This window comes from Homo sapiens, chromosome 7 (assembly GCF_000001405.40).
Source record: "Homo sapiens chromosome 7, GRCh38.p14 Primary Assembly".
Taxonomy (NCBI): Eukaryota; Metazoa; Chordata; class Mammalia; order Primates; family Hominidae; genus Homo; species Homo sapiens.
In genome coordinates, this window is record NC_000007.14 from 127,676,033 (window position 1) to 127,693,036 (window position 17,004).

General features: G+C 40.6%; 1 protein-coding gene across 2 annotated transcripts in view, besides 1 other annotated feature; it reads left to right on the top strand.

Moving 5' to 3' along the window:
* SND1 (staphylococcal nuclease and tudor domain containing 1) overlaps window positions 1-17,004 on the top strand; it is a 440,400-nt gene that overhangs the window by 23,839 nt on the left and 399,557 nt on the right. For both annotated transcript variants that reach the window (NM_014390.4, XM_017011987.3), the window contains exon 2: window positions 10,581-10,730. In NM_014390.4, the coding sequence (NP_055205.2) occupies window positions 10,581-10,730 (150 nt within the window). The remainder of the gene's footprint in view (window positions 1-10,580; window positions 10,731-17,004) is intronic.
* Window positions 3,129-3,218: an enhancer, noted in NCBI's record as "active region_26589". NCBI's record gives its function as "activates an Ori minimal core promoter by ATAC-STARR-seq in GM12878 lymphoblastoid cells {active_cell/tissue: GM12878}" and the evidence as "EXISTENCE:reporter gene assay evidence [ECO:0000049][PMID:35858748]".

A 17,004-nucleotide genomic window follows, 5' to 3' on the forward strand; every position in this document is an offset into this window, starting at 1 on the left:
AGTCTAAGCTACAGTCTTGATTGTGTTCTTTTATGTAAGTCATCGATATTTTGGCTCATGATTCTCATATCATAGATTTAGTATTTGGGGTTTATTAGCAAGTACACTGGGAAAACCTGTGTTCTAGCCCTCATGCCATCTGACTGTGCCATAGTTTTCTCATCTGCAAAATGAGGATAAGGGTCCCTGTCCTGCTTCCTCAGGGCATTGTTGTGAGGATGAGGAGGGGAGGAGAGCAGGGAAGGAAGGGAAGAGAGATTAATGTTCCTTTAACATTTATTGAGTTACCTTCTTGGTTTCAGGGAGTCAAGGATCTTATGTAATAATACAAATAACCCAGAGGAGATAGTGGTATTATCTTTACTTATAGATGAAGGAATATCACAGTGTTCAGAATGATTTTCACTTGAGTTTGCGTTCAAACTCAAGGCTGTATAATTTCAGAGCTCATGGTTGTTCCGTTAGCCACACCATCTGAGGCTATGATTGCCAAGACAGTTTGTCAAGTATGAAGTTCAATACAAACTTAAGAGATGATACTTACTACTTTCACCCCAGAGGATAGAGATTTGGACATAGGTACTTAAATCTACTTTCCTAGTGAGTGGGTATCTTAACTGATAAATCAAGGGAATTAGAGATTACAGGTTATCAGTCTAAATCTGACAGAATTCAGTGGTGAGAGAATTTCTGTGACTTTGATATTTTCTTTATTTCTTTATTTTTGATACGCAGTTTCACTCTTGTTGCCCAGCCTGAAGTGCAATGGCCTGATCTCGGCTCACTGCAACCTCCGCCTCCTGGGTTCAAGCGATTCTCCTGCCTCAGCCTCCCAAGTAGCTGGGATTACAAGCACCTACCACCGTGTCCAGCTAATTTTTGTATTTTTAGTAGAGATGGGGTTTCACCTTCTTGGCCAGGCTGGTCTCGAACTCCTGACCTCAGGTGATCCACCCGCCTTGGCCTCCCAAAGTGTTGGGATTACAGGCGTGAGCCACTGTGCCTGACCATGATGTTTTCTTCTATATCCCTAGAGGAATGTCCATCTTTTTCTATTGTACATACTCTTCCAGTCTTTATAGCAGACCACACTTTGAGCCATTTCTTGTAACAACAATGTTGGCTATATTTATTGTGTCCTTGTGCTGGGCTCTGTGCTAAGTGCTTTTATTTTGTTTAGGTTTCATAACAACTCTTTATTTTATTTTTATTTCAGCAACAGATTGACAAACTGGATCATAACAACTTATATATATTCTTATGTATTTATTTTATAAATGATGAAATGGAGGCTAATGGAGCCAATTAAATAACTTTCAAAGGTCACTGCTGACATTGATTTGATTCTGAAACTAAATTCTTATTGCCATATACTGCAGCTCCTTCTCTGATTATAAAAACGAGCAGTTTGTGTAACTTGAATTGGTCCAGAATTTATTTTTGCCATGCACTTGCTATTTAGACGACCATAAAACTAGTTTTCATCTCACTCGCTTGTCATAATGCTTTATATCAGGGGTTGGCAAACTTACTCTGTAAAGGGCCAGGTAATAAATATTTTAGGCTTTGCCAGCCATATGGTCTCTGTCGCAACTACTCAACTCTGCTGTTCTAGTGCAAAAGCAGCCCTAGACAATACATAAATGAATGAGCTTGACGTGTTCCAATAAAACTTTATTTATGGACACTGAAATTTGACTTTCATACTCTTTTGCATGTTACATAATCTTCTTTTGATGTTTTTCCAACCTTTTAAAAATGTAAAAACCATTTTTAGCTCATGGTCTGTACAAAAACAGGCAGTAGGCTGGATTTGGCTAGTAGGCTGTAGTTCGCCAATCCTGCATTTTATCGTTTTGAAGTTTTCTTCTTTGCATCTACTTTTTGGGTGTTCTTTTGTAATATTGGACTCTAAGTCAGCTTGCCTTGCAGATGGTACGGTTTAATAAATGTTGGTATGATTTGGGACAGCCAGCTCATGGAAGCTTTACTTGCTTAGTGATTTGGTCTCCAACACCTGTTCTACTGGCACATATAAACAGAGATTTTAATTGAGAAAAAGATTTAATCAGTAGGTAACCTCAGATACCATTTTAACAGAAATCAGCTCCCAAATGCTTGTTTGTATGTGTGGCATAGTGGAATATCAGGATTGGGAAACTTCAACCCCAATCCTTGCTCTGCTGTCAATCCTGGTTATTTTAGGCAAAAGTTACTTTACCTCTCTTGCTCTCAGATTTCTCAGCTGTAAAATAAAATAGCCCAGATTAGATGCTGTCTTTATGTGAAGTCTCTCTGTAGATGATTGTTATGGTCCTCCTGAGATTTAAACTCCGTATATGTAAACTGCGGCCCGATTTTTGGCACAGTTGGCTCGGGAGCAGCAACTTGTGCTTGTACCTGTTGGGTCTGCAAGTGTATCCAGAGCCAGTGAGTCAGCACTGCCATGAGCTCCTGGGCTTCCGGTTCATTGGGTTTGAATGTTGGGCCCTCTAATTTAGGTTTGCCTCTTGTTCTTGCCAGGAAAAAAACCAAAAAGCAATACAAAAACACATACGCACACACACACAAAACAAACAAAAAACTGGCTGTGTTGGTGAGTATTCAGAGAAAGGCCTCCCAGACCACACAGCTTATGTTGTTTTGGGATTGCTTGCTTTGTCTAAATGACTTTTTAATTTTCAAGAGATGATTCTTCCTGTGGAGGCAACAGCTCTGACTGCCAGGAAGCTTTTTCCTGATATGCATTTTGAAATATTCCCCAATTGAGTTTCTTTTTAGTTACTCTTGCTTTCATTCAGTTTCTTTAAATGTTTTCATTTCATTAAAGGGTATCCATTAGGACCAAACTTTGCCTCCTCTTTTTACAGTAGCTCCTTCCCCATCCCCTGATGGTATTTTTAGGTGTAGAAAACACCTTGTCCAGAGGGGAGTCCCTGGCCTGCTTCTTTGCCACTCTGACGTAGAGTCCCTGCATGTGCAGCCTTTGGGTTGTGACAGTTGAAGAATGGCATCATGGACCCTTCAGCTCAATGACTTTCCTGGTTCTCCTTTCTGTGTGACACACAGGATGCTCGCTATATTGTTTCTGAGAAAAAGCTTGTATTGCTTCTGGCCATTTTCATCCTTTTTAGAGCTTTGTAGATTTCACTGAAGTTCTGTCTTTTTCCTGTGGCTTCCTACCTAGTTATTTCTAGAGGATTTGAAGGTTTATACTTATAGCCGCTTCTGGGGTGAGTCACCATGCCTGACTTTTGCTTCTCAGGCAGCTGCCATTTAAAAAAATTTTTTTGTTAATGTTTTTCAGCTAGCATCTAATCTTCCTGCAAGAATATGGAAGGCTCTATAGTAAAATATACATTTTATGTCCCCATGTTTTTGTACTTCTGTGTTGGACCTTAAAATTTTTTTTTTAGATATAATTAACATACCATAAAGTTGACACTTTTAAAGTATATAATTCAGTGGCTTTTTACTACAATCATGTAACAATCACTACTAATTTGGAATATTTTCATCACCTCCAAAGAAATCTGTATCCATTAGTATATTCCCCACTCTCCCCTTCTGTCAGTCCCTGGGAACCACTAGTCTATGTTCTGTCTATGGATTTCCCTTTTCTGCACATTTCATATAATGGGAACAGTTCAGTATGTGGCCATTTGTGTCTGGCTTCTTTTACTTAACATAATGTTTTCAAGGCTCACCCATGTTGTAACATCAATCAGTACGCAATCTCTTTTTATTTCTGAATTATATTCCAATTGTATGGATATACAATATTTTATCACCAGTTACAGCTGTTGATGAACATTTATTGTTTTCTCTCTTTTTTTGGCTATTATGAATGATGTTGCAATGAGCATTGGTGTACAAGTTTCTGTGTGGGCATATGTTTGTATTTCTCTTGGATATATACTATCGGGGAACCTGCCCCTGATAGTCACGTAGGTTCTTTTCTATTTTCCCTAAGCGTCGGCTGGTTTGAGAAATAAAGGGACAGAGTACAAAAGAGAGAAATTTTAAAGCTGGGCATCCGGGGGAGACGTCACATGTCGGTAGGTTCCGTGATGCCCCCTGAGCCGTAAAACCAGCAAGTTTTTATTAGGGATTTTCAAAAGGGGAGGGAGTGTACAAATAGGGTGTGGGTCACAGAGATCACGTACTTCACAAGGTAATAGACTATCACAAGGCAAATGGAGGCAGGGCGAGATCACAGGACCACAGGACTGGGGCGAAATTAAAATTGCTAATGAAGTTTCAGGCACCATTGTCATTGATAACATATGGAGACAGGGTTTGAGAGCAACTGGTCTGACCAAAATTTATTAGGTGGGAATTTCCTCGTCCTAATAAGCCTGGGAGCGCTATGGGAGACTGGGGCTTATTTCATCCCTACAGTCTCGACCGTAGAAAACGGCCATACCCAAGGGGGCCATTTTAGATGCCCACCCTCAGGGGCACATTCTCTTTCTCAGGGATGTTCCTTGCTGAGAAAAAGAATTCAGCGATATTTCTCCTATTTACTTTTGAAAGAAGAGAAATATGGCTCTGTTCCGCCCGGCTCACCGGCGGTCAGAGTTTAAGGTTCTCTCTCTTGTTCCCTGAACGTTGCTGTTATCCTGTTCTTTTTTCAAGGTGCCCAGATTTCATATTGTTCAAACACACACGCTCTACAGTTTGTACAGTTAACGCAATCATCACAGGGTTCTGAGGCGACATACATCCTCCTCGGCTTACGAGATGACAGGATTAAGAGATTAAAGTAAAGACAGGCATAGGAAATCACAAGGGTATTGATTGGGGAATTGATAAGTGTTCATGGAATCTTCACAATTTATGTTTAGAGATTGCAGTAAAGACAGGCATAAGAAATTATAAAAGTATTAATTTGGGAACTAATAAATGTCCATGAAATCTTCACAATCCACGTTCTTCTGCCATGGCTTCAGCTGGTCCCTCCGTTCGGGGTGCCTGACTTCCCGCAACATATACACCTAGGAGTGAAATCACAGGGTCATATGATAACTGTTTAACTTTTGAGAAACCTCCAGACTCTTTTCCAAAGCAGCTACACCACCCATAATGTATGAGGGGTCCAGTTTTTACACATCCTTGTCAACACTTGTTATTGCCTGTCTTATTGATTTTAGCTATCCTAGTGGTGGTAAAGTGATATGTCATTGTAGCTTTGATTTGCATTTGTCTGATGACTAATGATGAAGAGCATCTTTTCATGTGCTTTTTGGACATTTATATTTATTTTTTGGATAAATGTCTCTTCAACTTACTTTAATTGGGCTATTGTCTTCTTATCAAATTATGATAGTTCTTTATTCTGGATACTAGACCCTTGTCAGATATATGAGATAAGAGTCTAGTATTCAGAATTTGCATATACTCATATTTTTTTCTTTCTTGATAGTGTCCATTGAAGCACACTGTTTTTAATTTTTATGAAGTCCAATTTATTTATTTATTTTTAAGTTGCTTGTGTTTTTGGTGTCACCTAAGAAACCATCACCTAATGCAAGGCCATGTAGATTTACAGGTTTGTTTTCTTCTAAGACTTTTATAGTTTTACTCTTAAATTTAGGTCTCTGGTCCTTTTTGAGTTATCTTTTGTATATGGTATGACGTAGAGGGCCAACTTCATTCTTTTGCACATGGAGATCTAGTTGTCCCAACACATTTTTGTTGAAAGGACTACTCTTTCCCCATCAAATTATCCTGGCACCCTTGTTCAAAGTCAGTGGGCCATAAATGTATGGATTTGTATTGGGCCTTCTTTTTGTAATATTTGTCATCAGATGTCTGCCCTTGTTCTTTATGTTGGTTCTTCACACAGGTAGATATTGCTGTTACAGTATACCTACTATACTATCTTAACTAGTGGATATGCCCGTTAAACCAGTCCTCTTTGCAGAGCTAGTAAGATGCCATTCTCAGACCAAAGTGATTTTTGCTCTTGGGCTGGGAAAAAATATTGGCTTCATTGACATACAAATTTCTGTACCATCCTTTTCTTTGCCCTTAGTATGGCTGGGTTTTTGTATAAGAAGTTTTCTGTCTTGTTGTGTCATTGGCCCAGGAGTTAAATAGTTAAACAAACCAAGTCATTTATCAGAATCTAGTGAAGATTTAATGTGGTGTTCCTGTTGCTGGGCAACATTTTAGTGGCTGCCCATACAGTGTTTCACTGTAGGTAAATCTCCCAGTAAACCCATAAGTGGGTTTGAACAATTTGAGTCCCCAATTTTCCTTCTCAGCTGCCTTGTTTCAGCCTTTGTAACCACGTGACTTGTGCCCTGAAGCCAGGTCCTTTGAATCACACCACGTCCCTCTGCAACCTTTATTGGCAGAACTGAGAAATGTCTAATCCATAACCTCAATCAAACTGACTTATTGTGACACCTGGTTTCACAAACCTCCTGCTGTATCAGGTAGTTCTAAGATCATTTTTCTAGAATGTCAGTTTATTAATATAATTGCATAAAGCAGTAACCATTTGACTTGATTTCTGTGCTCTATAAATTAGCAATTAAGGATAATTACTGCATCCATGAAAGTTTGCAACATGAATCAGCACAGCTTTGGCAGACTAATTACCTATGACAGTTTCTTCTCAATCTTAACATTATTCTCCTGAAATTAAAATTCTGGTAAACAACATATTATACTTACATGTGATGTTTATTGTTTGTCTGTCTCCCCCTACTAGAATGTCAGCTCCCCAAGAGCAGAAATTTTTGTCTGCTTTGTTTCACTGAAACATGCCACTTGCCTAGAACAATGCCTGGCACATAGTAGGCACTCAGTAAGTTTGTAGTGAATTAATAACTGAATAAATCAAGGAATAAAATTATAACAATAATCAACCTGGCAGGTCTTTCTGAGAAGAAAAACGGCTTGTTTTGGTGCCATATGACATATAAATTGTTGAGCATATAGACCCTTGGCCTTTTTCATATTTTACCCAGACATTTAAAGTATTTTTCCCCCAGAAGGTATTTCTCATTGGTTTTATTTGGTGGCGACTGTTAGCTATAAGAAGGCCATTACAATGTTTTCATTGAGGAAGAACTTGAATAAAGACTGTTGGCGAGTAAGACAGGTGGGAGAGTTTAACAGTGGTTGGCAGATGAAGTGGAAATAGCAAAAAGGAGGTGTAGTGTGTTTCTGTTTGTTTCTTTGTTTTTTTGAGAGAGAGTCTTGCTCTGTCACCCTGGCTGGAGTGCAGTGGCACAACCATGGCTCACTGCAACCTTGACCTCCCAGGCTCAAGCGGTTCTCCTACCTCAGCCTCCCAAGTAGCTGGGACTACTGATGTGCACCACCACACCCAGCTACTTTTTTTGATTTTTAGTAGAGATGAGGTCTTGCTGTGTTGTCCAGGCTGGTTTTGAACTTCTAAGTTCAAGCAGCCCTCTCGCCTCGTCCTCCCAAAGTGCTGAGATTACAAGCTTGAGCCATTGCACCCAGCCTGTAGTGTGTTTTGAATGATTTCAGTTTCTGTGAGTGGTAGGAGGGAAACTAGTTCTTCCCTAGTAGAAATAGTTCTCTTACTTCCATAACTGTGTACAGTCAGTCTTTTCTTACCTTTCCACCAAGGCAATAGCCAAATGAGGGGAAGAGAGTTTCAGAAGAAGGGTGCACACATGCCAATCCTCTCCTCCTGGAGGAGTAGGAATAGCAGTACCTGCCACAGTGAATCTATTTCTTTTGCTTAGGAAGTTGAATTGGTGACAGCTGCTTGAATTCATATATTCAATGGTATAAAAGGTGTAGAGAGCCTGTAGAGTAAAAATCATCTCCGTAACATTGATTCAAGCATTAACTGAATGGCATTTTTGGTGCAACAATGCAAGGAAGTTCTGACAGCAGCCTTTAGCATTCAGGGAGAGGAGAGGGCATACAAAGGAGTTTTGCACAATTACTGTGTACAAGTTGTTTGCCAAAGCCATTAATGGGGCCAGGATAATAGTTGTAGATCCATTGTCCCCAGGGATCCGGTTTACTAGGCAGAGGCATTAGAGAGGCAATACCTTTCTGATATTTAGAGATGAGGGGCTCTTCTCATCAGTCCCTCTGTTCTTGAGCTTCTCAGTTTGATTTGTCAGGCTTGAGAAACAAAGATGGTTTCCTAGGCTAGGTCAATGCTTGCTTATCAGAGTTCACCTTCGTCAGAGAGGATGAGTTTTCTTGTAAATAGGCCTTAGCTTTTATGACTGGGCTTTACCAAGAGGTCCCCTGGGAATGCGTTATTACTTTTTTTGTGTGTGAAAACTTGACCAAAATTGAGCAGCAAGCACTAGAAACAGATGTTCTGGTTTGTGTGCTGTATGTAGTTTGGCTGTCCTCAGCCTCATTTGGAATTTGTGCTTGAATGATTTCAAGTGCAGGTATTCTGCACTATGCTCTTCTTGCTGTGTGTTTTGTTTCTACCACTTGTGAGAAAGAATTGAATATAAATGAGTCAGGAAGCTCTCCTTTTCTTCTTTGGCCCTTCTTATTCAGGAACTTCAAGCAGCCTCTACTCTAGTATACCTGTTCTTTCCTGGCTTTGTTTGGTTTGAGAGCTTATCTTTTGGAATGTCAGTTCCCTGGGATAATGCCTAGGACATGAATTCTCAGGATAGGGTGTTAGCATGGTTATTTGGCTAGAAGTTTTAGGGTTTAATTGCTGATAACAGGATAAAAACGAAAAGCGTGCCTGTAACTGGATTAGGAAGACAGTCTTTTTGTGTGTGTGTGCCATGGTATATAACCAGGGATTAAAGTGACTTAGGCCAGGGTCTGTGTGCTTAAGGTGTTGGGGATATTGAGACATTATCAGAGTACTAATTTAATGTACAATTAAATATTGTATATTGGAATGTACAATTAAATATTGTATATTGGAATGTACAATATTGTTTGATAGAATTTCCATAAAAAGTTAGTATGGATAAATGAATTGTGATATATTCGTACAAAATCCTTGGTCAGGGTAATGGTGGGGTTTGAGAGAAGGGGCTGCAAGTAGAGAGGGGCACATGGATTCCAAGGTTCTGGCAATGTGCAGTATTTCAGTTCTTAACTTGGGTGGTGGTTGCTCAGATGTTTTACTTTTCTTATTCTTTAATTTGTACATGTGGGTTTAAATTCATTTGTGTATTTATATCAATATTTAACACTTGAAAGCGTTAGTTAAGGTAGAGAGGTGGAGAGCAATGCACTCTAAGTGAAAGGAGCAGCTTCCTTTCATTCTCCTTTTTCTCTTCCTTTGATTCAACTTCCTCACAAGGATTATTCCTTTACTGAGAACTCCATGGTCTTGTCTAAACAGTGTTCTGTGTTGACAGAACCCTCCAACCTTCTCACTACTAACCTTTCGAAGCTATTTTTTATGAAGCGTGGAATTGAGAGTCTTTCAGATCTAGTGAAGCCAGGGCATGAGCCCCCACCTGTTTGTTGTATTGTGAGTCTCTTCGCAAAGACAATTTGAATAGCTTGGGTCGTTTTTCCCTTATGTGTCTTCTTCCCTTCTTTCACTTGAAATCCTTTCTTCTTCTCCCCTGCAAATACTTTAAGGTTAATGCCAGTGAGCTTTAGAGCTCTTTTCACAGTTGCAAGTGGGTTCTATGCCTGGCATCTTTGATTAGAGAGATGAAAGGAGCCACTGACTGCACTTGGGAGCCTTAAGGTGTTTATTAGATTCTTACGTTTTAATCATGTAGGGCATGGGTTTTCTAGATTACTTCTGTATTTCTCTCTTGTACTGTCCACAAGGGACACTCTAGGTATTGCATCCACCTTAGCCTTGGGCATGCTCATTTCCTCCCAGGGGTGTGTAGGGACTTCCCTCAGCTTCTCCTTTTTTTTCTTTTTTTGTTTGAGCAGAGTTTCACTTTTGTTGCCCAGACTGGAATGCAATGGCGCGATCTTGGCTCACCGCAACCTCCGCCTCCCGGGTTCAAGCGATTCTCCTGCCTCAGCCTCCTAAGTAGCAGGAACTACAGGCATGCGCCACCACACCTAGCTGATTTTGTATTTTTAGTAGATACAGGGTTTCTCCATGTTGGTCAGGCTGGTCTCGAACTCTTGACCTCAGGTGATCCACCCGCCTTGGCCTCCCAAAGTGCTGGGATTACAGGTGTAAGCCACTGTGCATGGCCACAGCTTCCCCTTTTCCTAAGCCTTTCATTGTTCGCTTCAATCTGAGAATGGAAAGTGTTGATGGAGATATTAATTCTTAATAATTGGAAAGAATGCAAGGGGTGGTACTTGCTAGGATGAAATTATAGAGGTCATTAATCTGTATGTCTCACATGCCTTTTTACCCCAGTCTGTTTATTCTATGACTTTTCTATTGTTGGATTTCTGGGTCAATCATTTCAGAATTTGGCCCCAGGCTTTATGTAGGTATTTCTCTTATAAAATTAAAAACAATCCTGTTTATTTAGTCATTCAACAGATGACTTTGCATGCCTTTGAAGTGCAAATGCTATTTGAAATGTTGGGGATACGGTGGTACACAACCTGCATTATGGTGATACGGCCTCTGGACCATTCATTTTCTCTTTCTTCCCCCTACGTAGGTCCTCTCAGGGTGCGCCATCATTGTCCGAGGTCAGCCTCGTGGTGGGCCTCCTCCTGAGCGGCAGATCAACCTCAGCAACATTCGTGCTGGAAATCTTGCTCGCCGGGCAGCCGCCACACAACCTGATGCAAAGGATACCCCTGATGAGGTAGGTGTTTCCTGAGGCCATCGTGAGCCTGTGGACCTAGGTAATAGCCCACTGTCTTCTGTCGCTGATGCCATTTTGATGTACTCTTTCTTTGTATTTTGAGTATTTTTATATCATAGAACTGCTGATTCTGGATGTGCCCACAAGCAGCTTGTATCTGTTGTTTATATGTTTACTACCTTTAGTGGCAGTTGAAGTCTTAGAGCTTTTTCTTGTACCTTTTCCCATAGACTTAGATTTGTTGTGTTTTCACTACTACTTTTCTTGGAATAGTTTAGGAACATTTCCTGGGTAGCCTTAAGCATTTGAAATCACCATTGGTTATGGCAGAGCTCTTTTATTAATTTATTTTTGAATTCTTCATTCATTTACATTGTTCAGAATGCAGAAGGATATATAGTGAAAAATCGAGTACTTCCCCTGAGACACCTGAGGTTACTAGGGTCTTGTGTCTCCTTCCAGAGATAGTTAAAACCTGTATGATCAGACACTCTCATTTTCATAAATCGTAGCATGCTATAAATGCTAGGCCCATATTTTATTATTTTATTAAAGATTGTTTTTCTTTAAGGTTCAGAGGGTACATTTTCATGTTTGTTACACGGGTATATTGTGTAATGTTGGGGATTGGGCTTCTAGTGTATCCATCACCAAAATATTGAACATTGTATCCAATAGATAATCTTTTAATTCTCACCCCCCTCACTCCTTCTCCCCTTTTGGAGTCCCCAGTGTCTATTATTTCTATCTATATGTCCATGTGTACCCATTGTTTAGTTCCCACTTACAAAAGTTAGAACATGTGATATTTGATTGTCTGCTTCTGAGTTAGTTCACTTAGGATGCTGGCCTCTAGCTCCATCCATGTTGCTGCAAAGGACGTGATTTCAGTATTTTTTTATGGCTGCCCATACTTTATTACTGATTTTTTTTGTTTTGTTTTGAGACAAGGTCTCTGTTGCCCGGGCTGGAGTGCAGTGGTGTAATCATGGCTCACTGTAGTCTCAACCTCCCAGGCTCAAGTGATCTTCCCACCTCAGCCTCCTGGGAGTAGCTGGAACTACAGGCATGTGCTATCATACCTGGCTAATTTTTATTTTTATTTTTTTTAGTAGAAAGGAGGTCTCGCTAGTTTGCCCAGCCTTGAGTTCCTGAATTCAAGCAATCTTTCTGCCTCGCCCTAAAGTACTGGGATTACAGGTGTGAGCCACTGCCCCTGGCCTATTCCAGATTCTTAATCTGGGATCCATGCACCTCTGAAGGCATATATAAATCCCATGAAATTGCAAAATTTTGTGTAAACGTGAATTGTTTTAGAGAGGGAGTTTTAAAAATCAGTTTCTTAAGGGAACTTATGGCTCAAAAGTAGTTAAGAACCATTGTTTTATGGTTATTTGAGAACCTTCTGTGCCTAATGGTGATTTGAGAACCTTCTGTGCCTATGTCCCATCATCTCCTCCATCCTTCCCTCACACCCCTCAGCCTCTAATGCCCAGCCCCCTTGCTTTTGTGGTCTGCCTTTGACCCCTTAAGTTTCTGCTCTTTGGGCAGCTGCTATGTGTACCAATTTGGCATTGTTTAGTCTTTTTGGCTTCTACACTTTGAAACATTAGTGCTTTGCTGTCCTTTAGCAGTGCTTTGGCTGTCAGAAATGAAATTTCTGGGCTGGCCATGGTGGCTCATACCTGTAATCCAAGCACTTTGGGAGGCTGAGTGGGGATGATTGCTTGAGCCCAGGACTTCAAGACCAGTCCTGACAACTGACAACATAGCAAGATCCCATCTCAAAAAAAAAAAAAAAAAGAAAAAATTAGCCAGGCATGGTGGTGCATGCCTGTAGTCTCAACTACTTGGGAGGTAGAGGTGGAAGGATCACTTGAACCTGGGAGTTCAAGGCTGCAGTGCATCATGATTGTGCCACTACACTGCAGCCTGGGTGACAGTGTAAGACCCTGTCTAAAAAAAAATAATAAAAAAAAAAAAGCAAAATTTCTGGATTCCAATTATTTGTTCTTTGCCCCAACTTTATCATGTTGGGCAGGTTGGTACCTCAGCTTTTGTGTGCTATTCCCTGCCAGGGAGGTAAAGAAGAAAAAGCAAGAGTTTATGTGGAACTTTTATTAATATTTAAGTAAAGCATTTAGTTTTTAAAATTATAATAAAGGACATTTTATTTTAATTAAGAAGTTAGTGAAGCAATGGTATAGATAATAGAGATAGAGAAAAACTCCCATAATTCTACTACCAACAGCAATCAGACTAAATAGATTAAAATAAATTTAAGTAGATTAAAATCAGTTCTTTTTCACTGGTCCTCCATCAGGGACCACACATATTGAGAATATTAGCATATACCTCAGGGTCGTTTAATGAAGATTAAACAAGATAACATGAAGTGCTTTAGTGCATGCTTATAAAATAATAAATGTTAGTTGTGGTAATCACTACTACTGCTTGCTAATTTCTCTTACTACAGATACTCCTAGTACTGTTAGATCAACCACTGAAGATTAAATATCTTTCAGCATTTTTCACATTTTGGGCATTAACAAATGGGTGAACCAACATTTTGAATAGTTTCTTTTCCTATTGTGTAACAGCTTGATTGCTTCCAAATGAAGAGTGTTGACCCTTCTTGGAGCTGACCAAGTTCATTTGCCCAGAAGGAAGAACTAGTGTAGCCTCTAAGAAAGAAGGGTTGGATTTTAATTTCCTGTTTTGTGGATGAGAATCTTGGGCAGAGAAATACAAGGCCAGTTGGAACTTGTTCTAAAATATCATAACTGTATCCCATGTTAACAGGACGGTGAAATCTTACCAGAACTATCCTAGGTGAAAGGATACTGTGTAATCTGATCCTAGCATTCTGGTGTAGTTCCATATATTTATACAGTCTAGTGCTTTTTGCCTCTCCCAGACTAACTCAGTCTCACTGTTTCTCCTGGTAACTCTTCAGAGATCCCTGTGAGATGAAATATTTGATAGCTGCAGATTTCATCTTTTCCTAGCCCACAGTCATCATTTCTCCTTCCTAATAATCCAATGTCTCCTCACCCTGCTGTGATTTGGTTTTCCTCCTATTGTACCCTCAAAGCTGCATCGACACAAGTTACCAGTAATGTCAATTGATTGAAAAACCTGATTTCCCTGCTCTCATTTTGACTCCCCCACCCCCCACCCCAACGCTGACATCCAGGCCTTTAACAAGGCCTAGGGATTCTGCCTCCTTAAAACCTCTCTTATCCATACTTGACATTTGATTAATACTGCTATTCTTTGTTCATCTCTGATAGAGTGCTTAGATGTTGAAATAATAGTCTCTTTGCCCTCATTCTCCTTCCCTCTAATCCTTTCTCCATATGCTCTCAGATTTTTTTGAAACATAATTTTATTTTTTCCCAGACTCTTCAGTGGTTCCTCATATTCCAAGACACTTTAGTGATTCCTCATATTCCAAGACACTTTAGTAATTCCTCATTACCTCTGTGACAAATCTAAATGCCTTAGCCTGGGTTACAAGCGCATTTGTGATATGACTTTTAGACTTCTCTTACTGAAACCCCTCTGGGATGCCAAGCCCCCACCATGCTGAAGAACTTAAGTCTTCCTACAGGCTGGGGTCCTGCCTTCTGCCCTCAGCTCATGCAGCCCCCTCCATCAGTAGTTCCTTCGCCACCTCTGTGGCTGGTGAGCACCTGCTGTCTTTTAAGATTCAGCCACTTAAGAAATCACACCTGACATTTCCTTTCATCATCCCATCTTGGTGCTGTCATAGCATTCACAACATTTCATTGCATGTTTACACGTTTATATATCTTTCTCTACTGGATTGCAAGCTCCAAAGAAGAGAGCCTTTCTCTCATCTCTGTGTCTTTGTGCCTAGTCAGTACCTGACACAATACAGGTAAGCAGTGAATAAACATTTAAATGAATAATGAGGAAAAGAACCTGAGCGTCTCCATTTTAGGGGTTGAAAGATTGTGCAATGTGGCACTACGCTTTCTCTCTGGCTTTCTATTTCTTTGGAGCATGTTTAGCTTTTTCACATTCAGGAATAATCAAGGACCTTATTGCTCATTTGCATCCCTTTGTATCACTGTCCCAAATATCTTCACATGATTATTCTTTGCCTTCTGTCATGATATCGTCTTTCAAAGAAACTCAGCTGTCTCTTAAGTCCTGTGGCAATGAAAGCAGCCCCACTGTATGCCCCCAGCCATCTCTTCACTGTTCCAAGCTAATCCCCAGCGTTGCCTAGCTACTCCAGGCAGCTTAGATACTGCATTGATGGGCACTGTGGGAATTATATATTTATTTCCCACAGAATTATTGAGCTCCTGCTGCGGGTAAAGTTGTTTATGTTTTCATGAGAAATATAGAAATGAGTGTCACAACCACTAAAGAACTTATTCATTTAACTAAACACCACCCATTCCCCAAAACCTATTGAAATAAAAAAAAAAATTAAGAAATACTATCTTTAAAAAATAATAAAAGTGGCTGGGCGCAGTGGCTTATGCCTGTAATGCCAGCACTTTGGGAGGCCGAGGCGGGCGGATCATGAGGTCAGGAGTTCGAGACCAGCCTGGCCAACATGGTGAAACCTTGTCTCTACTAAAAATACAAAAAAAATTAACCGGGCGTGGTGGCATGTGCGTGTAGTCCCGGCTACTCGGGAGGCTGAGGCAGGAGAATTGCTTGAACCCGGGAAGCGGAGGTTGCAGTGAACCAAGATTATGCCACTGCATTCCAGCCTGGCGACAGAGCGAGACTCCGTCTCAAAAATAAATAAATAATTAAATAAAACAAACTAAAAGAAGGTAAAAAATAAAAAAATAAATATTTTGCTGTTTTTGTTTGTTTGTTTTTAGATGGAGCCTCGCTTTGTCGCCCGGGCTGGAGTGCAGTGGCGCAATCTTGGCTCACTGCAACCTCCACCTCACAGGTTCAAGCAATTCTCCTGTCTCAGCTTCCCAAGTAGCTGGGATTGCAGGCGTGCGCCAACATGCCTGGCTAATTTTTTTTTTTTTTTTTTTTTGTATTTTCAGTAGAGATGGAGTTTCACCATGTTGGCCAGGCTGGTCCTGAACACCTGACCTCAGGTGACCTGCCAAGAGTCTTGGCCTCCCAAAGTGTTGGGATTACAGCCGTGAGCCTCCCAAAGTGCTGGGATTACAGGCCCGGCCATATTTTGCTATTATTTTAAAAAAGAAATGAATGTCACAATCCTGCATTCATTGGAGCTGTTGAGGACTGGGGTAGCTGGGGAAAGACGGCAGAGCAGGATTATCAGTTACATATCCAGATGGCACGGTGGGGTGGTTGGAAGAGAAAGAGGGACAAAAAGTATTGAATGTTGGGTCATTTACCTAGTAACTAGTTAAGGTTTTACATTCTGGGGTTTCATCTTGTCCTGGTAGTTTTAAGAGTCTATCTGGTCAAAGAGAAGATTAGAATTAAAAGCTCAGTTTCATTGTGGTAGATATGACAACCTTTCTTGGGTCTGGAAGTTCTGAGCAGGCCGCCAGATTGCCTGCAGTTGGGCATTCTAAAGGAAAGAGTAATTTTGAGTCTCAACTTCTTAAAAGCCACTTGCTTCTTAGATGGGACTCTGGGGCATCATTTGAATAGACCACAGTTATTCTTCCTGTTAGACCATTCTGGCCCTTATTTGAATAAATGCTTTGAGCAAATTTCCTTATTTGAGCAAGCTTCTGTTAGGATAGACTTCTCCATCAGATAGTCCTCTGCCTGGCTGTCCTTTGTGTGGACACATGGGTAACACTGGCCTCACTTCCATAAGGGTTCTGTCCCAGAGCACTCTCTTGCCCTCAGAGGAGTGATGTGGTCAGTTGCTTTCCTCTATAGCTCTTTGAGTCTCTTGATTGCCTCTCTTCTTAACTAATATCTTGTCCAGTTATTGAATTTGCCCAACTCTGGACGGAACACACTTGAGAAGGCTTATTTAGGAAGGAAGATTGCAGAAACTAGGTTATTTTTTCTTACACGGTTAGGCATATGTCCTTTGCAAGACCTCCAGTGTGGTTTTCTCTTATTGACCGGTAACTAACCAGCTGGAAAACATGAGGTCCTAAGGGGAAGATGTTTCTTCAGCGAGCCTTAAAAGTTTTTTAGAAAAGTTCTGCCTGGTTGGTAGAAATTGGAGATTTCCCTGCAGGGGCTAGTTATTTTCCTGTGAACTGACCTTTTGTAAAAGTGTTTTCACCAAAGTCTTGGCCTCTTTTAGGAGCACTGGTCTTATCAGAGCTTTTCC